At 52.4% G+C, this 12,557-nt stretch overlaps 1 protein-coding gene across 1 annotated transcript in view, besides 1 other annotated feature; it reads left to right on the forward strand.

The window, feature by feature from the left end:
* TMEM63C (transmembrane protein 63C) overlaps positions 1 to 12,557 on the forward strand; it is a 77,698-nt gene that overhangs the window by 13,819 nt on the left and 51,322 nt on the right. The window lies entirely within an intron of this gene.
* Positions 4,409 to 4,923: an enhancer, noted in NCBI's record as "H3K27ac-H3K4me1 hESC enhancer chr14:77666368-77666882 (GRCh37/hg19 assembly coordinates)". NCBI's record gives its function as "activates a minimal SCP1, AML or CMV promoter by ChIP-STARR-seq in primed H9 embryonic stem cells {active_cell/tissue: H9 hESC(primed)}" and the evidence as "EXISTENCE:reporter gene assay evidence [ECO:0000049][PMID:30033119]".

Below are 12,557 nucleotides of genomic sequence, written 5' to 3' on the forward strand. Positions count from 1 at the left end.
TTTGACCTCCCCCAGCTCAACCCTGCTGGCATTGTCTGTGCATCTAGGCTGAACACCCCCACAGCAGCAAGGGAAGGTGGGGTGCTCCAGCTCAGCAGGGGAAGTGACAGAGCTGGTGCCTGGACTCCCAGTGCCGTGCTGTCTCCATGGCCCGCTCCCCACAGCTGCTGCTCAGCTGGGTTGAATGGTAGCTCCCAGCTCACCTACCTCAGGGGTGGGCACTGGCTGGCCTGGATTTGGAGCTGGGGCAGGCTGGGGGTCATGGATGCTTCCGGAGTACCCCTCACCCCATCACAGCTCCCCAAGGCAGGCCTTGTGGTAGATACTGACAAGCACGTTGGAGTTGGGAGGGGCTTGGCCAGCCTGGGCTTGGGAAGGAGCTGCAAGGAGGCCAGGGAGGACTGGGATGCATGCCCGCCTGCACTGAGAGGGTTCTGTTGTCCCTGTGCTATAGAGCCTTGGAGGAGCCTCCCTCGGGGTCAGGAATCGAGCGGGGACACCGCTGGGCCACTCAGAAGGACCGTTTCCTGGGGACTGATCAAGAGGAGGGAAGGTCCTATTACAGCCCAGAGGCCACGTGGGGCCTGAGCCCCAAACCTCAGCTGCTGTTCCAGGTAGGTGCCCCGGCATCATCCCATCACCCATCAGGGCTAAGCCCTAGTGCCAGCTCCCCACTTTGAGCCTGGGAAATGTGGCCATCCTGGCCGCCCATGGCCTGCAGCTCTCTAGCCAGCACTTGGGCAAAGACCCTCCCTAAGCCCTCCCAAACCCACAACCTGCCAGGAAAGGGGCAGAACGGCCTAACCCCATTCTGAAGGGCGCTGTCCCAGGTGACCCTGCCCATGAGGCCTGGGAAGGGGCAGAAGATGCTCTGGTTTTGGTTAGGATGTCCTCTGTCCCCTGGAAATTCCCCCGGGGCTGAGCTGCTAGCTGGGCCTCCTGGTGGTTCTTTGCCCAGCTGACTCTGGTTTGGGGCAAGCCTAGAATCCGGCCAGATGTGGCTCTTCCAAGAGTTCCCTAACTCTTGACACTTTATCCTCTAGGAAAGGATTAAGACAGATGGTATCTTCATAGACTGCTAGAGCTAGGGATCTTAGAGGCAGAATCCAACCGCAATCTCTTTTTACTTCTCAAGTATTACTTGTATCAATAGTGTAGTTTCCAATGTTGTGGTTGAACATCTCAGAGGAATCAGGTGTAATCTTGTCAAAACAGCGCGGGAAGCCCTTTGGCTTCAGACAGCCCTTCCTGGGCTCAGTGGCCTCCCCTTGCCCCTCAGCCCAGCCTGTGCCCCACGCTCCTCTTCCTCTCCTTCCACCTTCCCAGTTACCTCCAGCAACTCCTCCCCACTTTGCAAAAGGAACATTGACAGTGACTGGACATCCCAAGCTAGAAGGTATTGAAGCTAGGTTAGCATCTAAGTGAGGCTTTCTTCCCTATTTAAGTAAGTAAATACATTAATAAATAAATCTTTGAGGAAGGATTAGAGAGTCCAGGAAGCTTTCCAGAGGAAGCTCTAACTGTGTTAAGATTTCTCTATTTGAGAGTGTCTCAAATCTCTCTTACATGAAAGAAGATACTATCCTGCATGGGGTGTTGGCCAAGAGCATCGTGATTGTTGCTGTTACTGATAAAAATAATCTTAGATATGGTTCTTTATGTCCCCTTTATAATTTCCTGGTCCTTTCTTGGGAGAGCCCTCCAGGGCAGGGAGCCTTAGCCACAGGCAGTGTTTCACTTCTGTTCCTCTGGCCATTCCCAGGGCCCCAGCCCTACGCCAGACTCTTGTTCAAGATTATTAGAAGAGGCAGCAGTGGAGCCAGATGGGTTCACAACCCAGCTCAACCACCTACTGGCCTTGTTATCTCTATGAACTTCTGTCTCTTCATCTGTAAAATGGGGTTAACAATAGTACCCTAGGGTGAAGATTAACTACGGTAATATCTGTAAAGTACTTGAAACAACATCTAGCACCCAGTAAGTGCTTAACACATTAGATCCGATCACTGCAAAAGTCTGTTCTCTCCCAGCCATAGTCTGCTGCCTGATCAACCTCCCTAAGACACAGTGCAGTCATCCAATTCCCTGGCTCTACAACCAACCATGACTCCCCATTGTCTAGTTAATGACTGTGCCCTAACTTCACTTTAAGGGCTTGAAGGCAGAGAAGAATATCATTTGCCTTGCATGTAGTAAGGAATCAGTAATGTTTGTTGGGAGAGGGTTTCCGCTCTCAGAGTGGGTGAACTGAGTCCCTAAGGAATGGAAGTGCAGTCACCTACAGCCCACATCTGGGGGTTTGATCCAAGCTCTTCTGCCTCCCCAGCCATAGCCTGGCCAGGAGCGGACCTGGATCTGGGGCCCTGCATCCGCACACAAGGCTAGGGTTGGTTTCCCTTGGATCCACTGGGCCTGCAAATGCAGTGAGCCCTATTTTGAGCTCCAGCCTTGGTCCACATCAGAGTCAAGAGAGGACACTTGGCCATTGCCCAGACAGGCAGTGACCGCAGTTATAATGTGTACTCTGATGAGTTCAGGCCAGGCAGCAGACGTGACGTCATGGTCCTCATTCATCATGGGGCTGTGGCCAAAACCTTGGCTCCCATGGCTCAGGTGGGAAGCCTGAGGCCAGCAGAGACTACCCATGATCTGGCATCTTGGGACAGAGAACTCAGCTAGCTCCATCCTGCATCTCAGCCCCTCTGGCGGAAGAGAGGCCACACACTGTGGAGGAACAAGCCCTGGGCTGGGGCAGGACAGAACAGCATTTGAGACCAGCCTCCTTATCTGGTGGAGAGACCTTGGCCACATCAATGAACTTCTGTATTTTCCCGTCTGTGAAATGCGGAGGATAACACCTGCTTCGTAGAGTCAGGGTGAGGGCAAAATGGAGCAAAATGCCCAGAGCCACTGCACGCATGGAGAGGGCACTTGGGAATTTGCCGCGATTCTGATCAGACCATCAAAGTTGTTCTCCAGGCTGCCAAGTGGAGCTGTTTCAGTCCTGCAAACTTCTAGCTTTCCTTAGGTGGGGAAATTGTCCTCGCCTGGCCTCCGCTCTGAGATACAGGAAAATAGTGGTGGTTTTTGGCAGGAGCAGGAAACAGTTCAAATGTTTCCTGGCAAGGATGGGAAGTGCAGGAGGGAAGCAGCGCAGCTCTGCTTGGTTTTCTCAGAGATTTTTCCACTTGGAGGCTCGGTGCTGCCAAGCCCAGGAAGCCAGCAGTAAAGGGACAGGGAGGGGGCAAACCAGAGCATGCTGGTTCCCGCAAGGTGGTATTTTTCTCTTTATCCACTTGAAGAATGAATGAATCTGTTGAGATTCCAGACACTGGACTAGGCAGCAGCAAGTAAAACAAACATGACCCTGCTCTCAGGGGGCTTTCATTCAAATGGGGCAGATAATGAACAGCATATTATGGATGATGTATGTTAGAAGGAGATAAATGCAATGGGGGAAATAAAAAACACAGAGAAAGAAAGGGAGGGCAATCAGGGGTGCCGGAGGAGCTGCGTTATTAAGAAGAATGGTCAGGACAGACCTCACTGGAAAGGCAACATTTGAGACACACAGATTGTTTGCTCCCCTTGGGGATTCCTGAGAGGCCCGGGGGCTCAGAATCAAGGCCAAATGCCTTTCATGAGATTCTAGGATAGGAGCAAAATCTAGAAGCTCTTCTAGTCCCAGCCCAGATAATGCCATGCCCTTCCTCCAAGACCTTCAATAGCTCCGCACTGCCTACACAGTCAAGTGCAAATCATTCAGCCGAGATTCAGGGCCTCATGATCTGGTCCCAACTTGCCTGTTATCTCACCAGACCCTTCTCATCCCACCTCTTCAGCCAAGCTAGTCTGCCTGCCATTTCCAGAACAGTCCACTCTCTGTTTCCCTCTTCCTCTCATTTGTCCCTCTGCCTGGACTATCCTTGTTCCCACTGGTTTCTGTCAGTATGGAAATCTCGCCCAGTCTCCAAATGCCACCTCTCCGAGGCCTTCCTTGACCCCCCGGGCTGTGGTCTCTGAGCCCCACAGCTTGGCTTGTTCCCTTCTCAGTGTGCGGCTCTTACTCTGCCTTGGGTGTAGGCACCGGTTTTCCTGTCTTGTGTCTCCACCTGGCTGGAAGTGCTCCGGGCAGGGCCTGGACTCCTTCACCTCCAGCAGGTGTGGGACTCATCGAACACTGGCTGAATTGTGTCCCTGCTCAAAGGCTCCCAGCGACACTGTGATGAGCCGGGCCCACTCAGACAACGAAGGCAGAAGTGGAGGCGGGCAAGAAAGGAGGGGAAACTAAAATGTAGGTGAGAGATGAGAGAGGAGCCGGTGAAGGACGAGGAGAGAGAAATCCCCACCATCCTTTTTCCAGAGAAGCAGATTGTCGCAGACAGAAGGAGGGATCCCTCTCTTCCCCCAGAAATAGCTAGTACTCCCTTCAGTCTCCCAGGCCAGTGCCTCCTTGTGTCTAACTGAAATACCTCTTGCTGCAGCTGTAGTTCACTTTCTCTTTTTCCATCATCTGGCTTCAGGTCTCCATTCAAGTCCTCATTCAGCCTGGATCAGTGTGGCTTTCCTGATCCCCTACCCAAGGGGCAGGAGCAAGTTCAGAGGAGGCTGGCTCCTGCCCTGGAGTTTGTGCTCTAGTTGAGGAGGCTCTGATGATCCCCAGAGCCACATGGAGACTGCCAGGGAGCTAAGATGTGGATCCACCACGAGTCATGGAGGTTGTGCCAGCCACCACCCCTCAGCCCCTCGGCACAGCCTCCCTGCAGGGCTAACCTTCATCACAAGCAAACCTGTGAATAGAGAGCTCCCACTATGGTAGCAGGGATTCTCAGGTCCCTCATGCCCCCCAGGCCCTGTGAGGCCCTGTGAGCCAGACCCACAGCCTCTGCCATCTGCCTCCCACCCATCACTGGACCAGCTGTGCTCAGAGAGCACACGAGGCAGCCAACGTGGCTCTGGCCCTATTTAGACAGATGGCGCCAGAGCCCAGAAATAGGCTTCAACCTGGCCCCCATCCTGGCTCTGCTGCCCCTGAGGGGTGGTGCATTTCCATCCAGGGGACCTGAACTAGGCTCACATCTTGTCCTGCCCCCGCTCCCCATCTGCCTCTCGGCTTTTATGCATGCCCAGGTCTCCTCCCGGAATGTTCTGCCCTGTCCTCCACATGGTAGGAGGCCCATGTGTCCTCAGGCTAGAAATGTGATGCCTTGAGGCCAACTGGCTAGGCTCAAATCTCACTCAAGGACAATAGTTCCCCTCTTGGTGGTGATGTGAGGACACAGGTGCTCTCGTGCTTCCAGAGTCTTAGCACAGCAGCTGGCAGGTAATAAGTGCTCAGTTAAAGTGATCTAGTGCTGTTTGTCTTTTTTTTTTTTTTTTTTTTGGTAACAGTTTAATAAAGTGTTCATAAAATGTTCCCAATAGGCTGGCTAAGAGCAAGGTAGCAGATAGAAAACCAAGTGGGAAACGTTTTGTGGCCACACCCACAGCAAAAGAGAAGCTATCCATCTTCTAAGAGTTGCCTTGGCTGGCACCTCCTCCAGGCAGCCTTTGTGGATTCTCCAGGACTGAGGCAGGAGCTCCTCCTCTGTGCTCCCAGTACTCCTTGAACAGAGCTCCAGAGTGCAGCTATGCGGTCTTGTTATGGTCTTCTTAGGGGTCTGTGTACCCACTAGAGCCTTGTGTCTTGCCTGTAGGCACCTTGAGTTCAGGGAACAGAGTCTGGACTGTAATTTGCTGAATAAATTATTTTGTGAATGACAGGTGGGAGAGACAGTGAGACGGAAAGAATCAGCTTGAGGCTGCCTTTTCCAGGGCCTATCCTGAAAACACGAGGCTGCCCACACCAAAGTCTGGGGGTCAGATGAGGGAGCTGAAAGAGGAGCCTCCCTCTCCTGTTCTATGGTCTAGGATAGTGATTCTCAGTGTGAGGTCCCTGGCCCAGCGGCATCAGCATCCTTCAGGGACTTGTTGGAGACAGAGATTCTCAGGCGCTACCCAAGACCTGTTGTGGCAGAAACCCTGGGGCAGGGCCCAGCGATCTGTGATGTAACAAGCCCTGCTGCTGATTGTGACCCACCAAAGTGTGAGACCCATTGCTGTAATGTTTCAAGGGTGTGCGTTCACTTTCCCATAAACTAACACCAAAGAGGAGAGGAAGTAGAGTGTCTCTGGGAGTAGCGGGGGCGGTTTCTTCTCTGCTGAAGGCTTCCAAGAAGGCCCTGGGGCTGGGCCCCCAGGACATGGCTCCTACTGGACCCCCACTCCTGAGGCTGAGATCATTGCACTGACAGGGCAGGTGTGATGGGGACACTTGAGATGCCCCTGCCCTCTCCCAGGTGGCCCTAGACCAGACAGGACGCTGCTCCCACCTGCTCTTGAGTCCATTCCATCCCCACTGCCATTGCCCAGCATCCCTTCTAGGTGCTCCCTGCAGCAGGGGCCCCAGGGCAGACTTCTGGAATGACACAACTAAGGGAGACCCTGGAGATCATTGGCTAAAAACACATAAATTCACACAAGCGCCAAAACACACAAGTGTATACAACTCAACATGCACACATATGAACACATAAATATGCATGCAACCCAAAACACAAGCATCTAAAACCCAAACTATAATCACAAACACATTCCTAAGCACAACCAAATACCCCTCAAAACATACTCAGATACACACACACACACACACACACAAACACATTGACAGACACACCTCAAAACACACAAGCACCAATGCATAGACCCACTGTATTGGCTTCCCAGGGCCCTGCAACAAATTACCACAAACTGTGTGGTTCTGAACAACAGAAAGTTATTCTCTTCCAGTCCTGGAGGCCAGAAGTCTGAAATCAAGGTGTCAGCAGGGCCGTGCTCCCTCTGCAGGACCTAGGGGAGCATCCTTACTTGCCTCTTCCTAGTTCCTGGGGGTTGTCAGCAGTTCTTGGCATTCCTTGACTTGCAGCTGTCTCATTCCAGTCTCTCCCTTTGTCTTCTCATGGCCTTCATCTAAGGACACCAGTCGTTGGATTCAGGGGCCACCCTCATCATGTATGACCTCATTTTAACAAATTACATCTGCAAAGACTCTATTTCCAAACAAGGTCACATTCCATGCTTCCACGTGGACATGCATTTTGGGAGGATACTGTTCAACCCAGTAGCGCTGCACATCCCAAACACATAGCTACAGAGGCAGACAGGCAGGCGCACACACACACACACACACACACACACACACACACACACACGCACACACACCCCTCTACCTGGCACATGGAACTGAGCTCCTGAGAGGAGAGAGAGTCCCTAAGTGTCAGAGCTATCCACTCCTCCTCTCTGGGTGTCCAGCACTGAGAAGCCCACATCCTTATTACAACACTTACCCAGTGATGCTGCTTTTCAGTTTGGTTTTGTTGTTTTGTTTTGTTCAAAACGGTTAGGTATGCATATAGTACAAAATTCAAAAAGCAATAAAGACGCTGGGCGTGGTGGCTTATCCCTGTAATCCCAGCACTTTGGGAGGCCGAGGTGGGTGAATCACCTGAGGTCAGGAGTTAGAGACCAGCCCGGCCAACATAGTGAAACCCTGTCTCTACTAAAAATACAAAAATTAGCCGGCCGGGCATGGTGGTGGGCGCCTGTAGTCCCAGCTAATCAGGAGGCTGAGGCAGGAGAATCACTTGAACCCGGGGGGTGGAGATTGCAGTGAGCCAAGATCCTGCCACTTCACTCCAGCCTGGGCAAAAGAGCGAAACTCCATCTTGAAAAAAAAAAAAAAAAAAACAATAAAGAGAACAGAGTGAAAGGTAAGTCTTCCTCGCCACCTAGTTCCCTACCCAGAAGACAAGCACTGGCAACAGTTTCTTGTGCATCCTTCTAGAGGAAATGGAGACACACAGGAGGCAGCATTCTCCATGTGCCGTCTGCATCTTGCTTTTCCTGCCTGGCCATGCACCCATTGTTCTTTATTCTGGCTACTTTCACACCACTTGGATCTCCTCCACCTGACTGTGTGCTTGCTGAGGACAGGCCATATGTAATGGATCCCTGCCTCTTCAGCACCTAGCTCGGGGCTGGCCCAGAGCAGGTGTTCAGTGCAGGGTGGCTCTATCTAGACAGTAATAAATTGTCAACAGCTGGTTGGATCTGAGTGTGACTGGCTGCAGAGCTTTGGTTGATCAGAGCCCACCCTGGCAGCAGCAGGAGGTGGGGTGTGATGGCCCCAGTAGGCTGCTCCTGCTGGTAGGCACCTCCCCATTGGCAGCCTCCAACCCGGCTCTAGCTGGAGCTGACTCTGGGGTCAGAGCCTCTGCTGCTATATCCCTATGGCTGCTTCACCTCCTTCTCCTCCTTCCTGCCCCCTCCAGACTCCTGCAGAGGAAGCAGTCAGGGGAGAGGCTGGAGGGAGAACCATGCTGGCTGCCTGCCGGCATCTTAGCCCAGGGGCCCTGCAAAACAGGAGCTGAGCTGAGCCATTGCCCAGCCTTGCTGGCTGAAGACTTAGTGGGGACTTGTTACCACGGAGACAAGAATTGCAGCAATAACTCAGGGTCAAACTGGATCCCTCAGCTTCACCCAGTTGTGGTGAATGTATTTGCTCCACAACACTCAAATATGAGATGCGCCACATTTTTTTTTTAAATCAAAACAGAAACAGATGCCTCAGTCTGAGATTTTGCCATGATAGGCTTTGAGCAAAGCCCTAGGGGGAGACAGAGGTGGGCAAGGGCTGCTCAGCCCCCTGAGACTGGAAACCCAGGGAAATGCTCACCAGCAGCTCCCTTTGTCCCTCTGTGGAAGGAGGGCTTAAGTTAGATGATTTGTAAGATCTCCTCCAGCCAAAACACTCTCATCACGGGGGCCAAATGAGTCCTACCCCAACCCACTGCCAATCTTTCCTTTCTTCTGCAAATATTTGTAAAGCACTCAACCCTATCCAGCACAGCAGAGGAAATAATCAGCAAACACAGCCAAGGGCTCTGTTGTCAAGGAGCTTCCCTTTGCGGGGAGGTGTGGGGAGTCAGCCGTCTGCTACGTCATCCCGTAAACAACATCGAATGTACTAGGTACAACAAGGAAAATTATACTTAACTTTATTGAGCCATTGCAATGTGCTAGGCACTGCTCTAATGTTTCATGTGAGTTGGCTCTATTAAACCTCACATCTACCCAATAAGTAGGTGCTATTAACATCTCCATTTTACAGACAAGGAAACTGAGGCATAGGGAGGTTAAGAAGCTTGCCCAAAGACATGGGGCTAGTAAGTAGCAGAGGCAGAACTTGGGCCCAGAGAGTCTAGTACTAGAAATCCACATTTGCTGCATACATGATGCCTGCCTCCCAAGATGCTCAGAGGCACAGGACTTGGGGAGCTGGGCCTGGCCTGAGCTCTTCCCTAAGGAAGCAAAAATGGAGCTGAGATTAACCAGGGGGAGAATGAATCAAGTAATGGGAGAGAGAACCTTCCAGGTGGTGGGACTGGCATATGCAAAGGCCCTGTGGCAGGAGGGAAGGTGGCATGCTCCAGGAACTGAGGGAACAACCTAGGAGGCTGGAGATGGAAGTGAGGGGGAAGTTTGACATGATGAAGCCAGAACACTAGGCAGGGCCCCACACCCAGGCCTTGCTGGCCAAGTTAAGGAGAGCGAAGAAAGCCCTTCTAGCTGATTCCATCACAGCCTGGTCCAGGAGGCCTCCCCAGGCACTGCAGATTGGGTTCGGTTCATCTGTGAGCCCTTCTCACACTGCGTTATCACTGCCTTTCAGCCAAGGCCTTTCTCATTCACCTAGAATGAGCTTGAGGAGGGGAGGAACACATCTCATCCTCTTTAGCAACCCCTATCCAGTAGAGAACTCAGGAAAGAATAAGTGAGAACAGTAGGATGGAAGGGAGGGTGAGATCAGCAAGACCAGGGGGTGTACCCAGAAGGCTCCCTGAAGAAAGCAGAGTTGAACTGGGCCTTGCCAATGGAGCATTCCCGTTGGGGGAGGATCAAGGTCCTCCACAGAGGGGAGGAATGGAGGGGGCAGAGACAACCAAGGCCTTTGATGGGCAAGGGGCCTTCCATCGGCTGGAGCTGAGATTCCTCGTGGGGAGCTGGGGGAGGTGAGACTGGAGGGGCTCCTGGGGCCAAGAGGGCCTCCCCTGGTCCCAGCCTCTGCCCAGGAGCAGGCCAGGAGCAGAGAGCTCAGATGTCAAAAGGAGCAGGGAGCTGTGCAGAAGCTCGGGCCTTGGCTTTAGATCTCCACCCCTGCTGTTCAGCTGCTAGCTGTATGACCCTGGGCAGGCTACACACCCACTCTGGGCCTCAGCATCCTCATTTGTAAATGGGGACAGTTGCCACCTCTTCTCTGGCAGGACTGTTGGGGGCCAGGTGAGATGACTTTGTAAACATACTTTGTCACCTGGAGGAGAGTGCACATAGGCCCTCCGTCAGGCTCAGAGGTAATCCAGAGGCCAGGCCCATTCAGGACCCCGCCCCCTACCTCCTGGAGGCTACCATTTCTCTTTTGTTCTCTTCCCTATAGGAGTCTAGGTTTAGACCACCCCAAAAAATGACTAGAGGGGCCTCAGTAGCTACCATCTTCCACTGATCCATTGAGGGGGTGGGGAGGTGGGAGGGGCAGGGCAGGGGGCTGGGGAGGCTGCCCCTGCCTGCCCTAGTGAGAGCTGTGCCAGGGAGGCCTCCAAGTCCTCTTCCTGATCTCTGCCCCTGGGACTTGATGCTGTAGTCAGCACAGTACCACTGCTGTCAGGAGGAGCCACTGACCTGGGGTGGAGCAGGGAGGGAGGCTTGCCTCTGGCTTTCAGGCAGACGCCCAGGGACCTGGTGGCCACTTTGGCTTCGATGATGCACCACCTTGGCTTCTTGATCTGCCTGCCCATGGCCCAGCCAGGCCCTGACAGGGGAGAGAGAGGAGATGGCATTGGATTCAGGCTTTGATTCTTCTTTCTGAGTAGGCAGCCTGCACAGGAACCACTGGGCTGCATGTCACTGTGAGAGCTCAGTCCCTCCACCCTCTCCTCCCCATCAACAAGTCTGAGTGGGAGCTGATCAGAATGAGGGCATTTGAGGAAGGGAAGAGGGATTTGATGCAGGAGGAAAGCTTGATTACATGGATATCTGTCAATCTCAAGCCTTCCTTTTAATATATGATCTTTTTCTAATTAGAAGCAACAATACATGTTCATATTAAATAGTTTTTCAAACTCAGAAAAAAATGTTAAGGACTGTTAAAAGAATGTGATATAATTTTAGTTTTTTTCTTTTATTTTTTTTTAGAATCCAGATCATTTCATTTAACAGCATTGTATCCTGCTGTTTTTATTTCCTATTTTACCTTTTTAACACAGGCATGAAGTCACCTGTCCTCCTCCCCGTGTCTCCCTGAGTCACTGCCCAGCTCCCAGGGGCCTGGGTGACTGTGACAGCCCCACAGCTGCCTCTGCCTTCTGTCTCCAGCACCCCCTGGGCACCATCATGGCTGCTCACTTACTCAGGGGCATAGGCAGAAAGCCATGGGTTGGGGTCCAGGGTCTGGAGGACAAGGAAAAGAAACTTCCTGGCAAGGAGAGGCATCTCTGTGGGGGTCCCAGAGGTGAGATGGATGGGGTGGGGAAGCCAACACACTCAGCTTCCAGCCTGAGTCCAAGTGGCCACCTTCTCCCCTGATGGCGTCCCAACTCCATCTGCCACCCACAGAGGTGTTAAGAGGATAAGTTTCTTAACCTCTCTGGGCCTGAAATTCCTCATTCATAAGATGGGATAAAAATAGAAGCTGCCTGGTCCTTCTCTTTAGCTGAGAGTCCCTTAGATGTAGTACAGATGTGGGAGGCCATCCTCCTGTACCCCAGAAATACAGTCCTCCTGGAATTGGGCAAAGCTGCTCTGTTCCTTCAAAGGCTTGTGCCTTCGGAGGCTGCGTGATGTAGTGGAGGCAGACACTTAGATTCTAATCCTGCCTTTGTCTCTCTCCAGCTGTGTAACTTTAGGCCAGTTACTTAACCTCTCTGAGCCTCAGTTTCTGTACGTGTAAGATGGGGATACTGACTCTTACTTCTTAGGCTGCTACCTCTCATGTTGCTTGTGAGGAATAAACGATGTTCAGTGGGATAGCCATAAGAAGGCCTGGCCCATCACAAATGCCCATGTCCTTTCCTGCCCCTTTCTTCTCCTGAGGCCCCCTCAGGGGCTACACCCATAGGAGCCTGGAGTGTGGTTCCAGTATTCTCTATCAGCCTTTCCTTTTTTCAGTGTACTTCTGTCTTGAGCCTAGCAGCTTCATTCCTGCTTGTTGGAATCAGCGTTCTCTGCCTCGAGGGTGGCACATAGCAAAGTGATCAGGAGGGGGCTGTGGAACCAGCCCCCCAGCTCAGGCCCTAACTTCACGGTACTAACTCCCTGATCTGGGCAAGTCTTTTAACCTCTCTGGGCCTGAAATTCCTCATTCATAAGATGGGATAATAATAGAACCTGCCTGGTCTTTGTACAGGAAACAAAAAACACTCTAGGAATCTTAAGCAAAACCAGGACTGGGACATGATGCTGTAGTC

The sequence above is a fragment of the Homo sapiens genome, chromosome 14, assembly GCF_000001405.40.
Source record: "Homo sapiens chromosome 14, GRCh38.p14 Primary Assembly".
Lineage (NCBI taxonomy): Eukaryota > Metazoa > Chordata > Mammalia > Primates > Hominidae > Homo > Homo sapiens.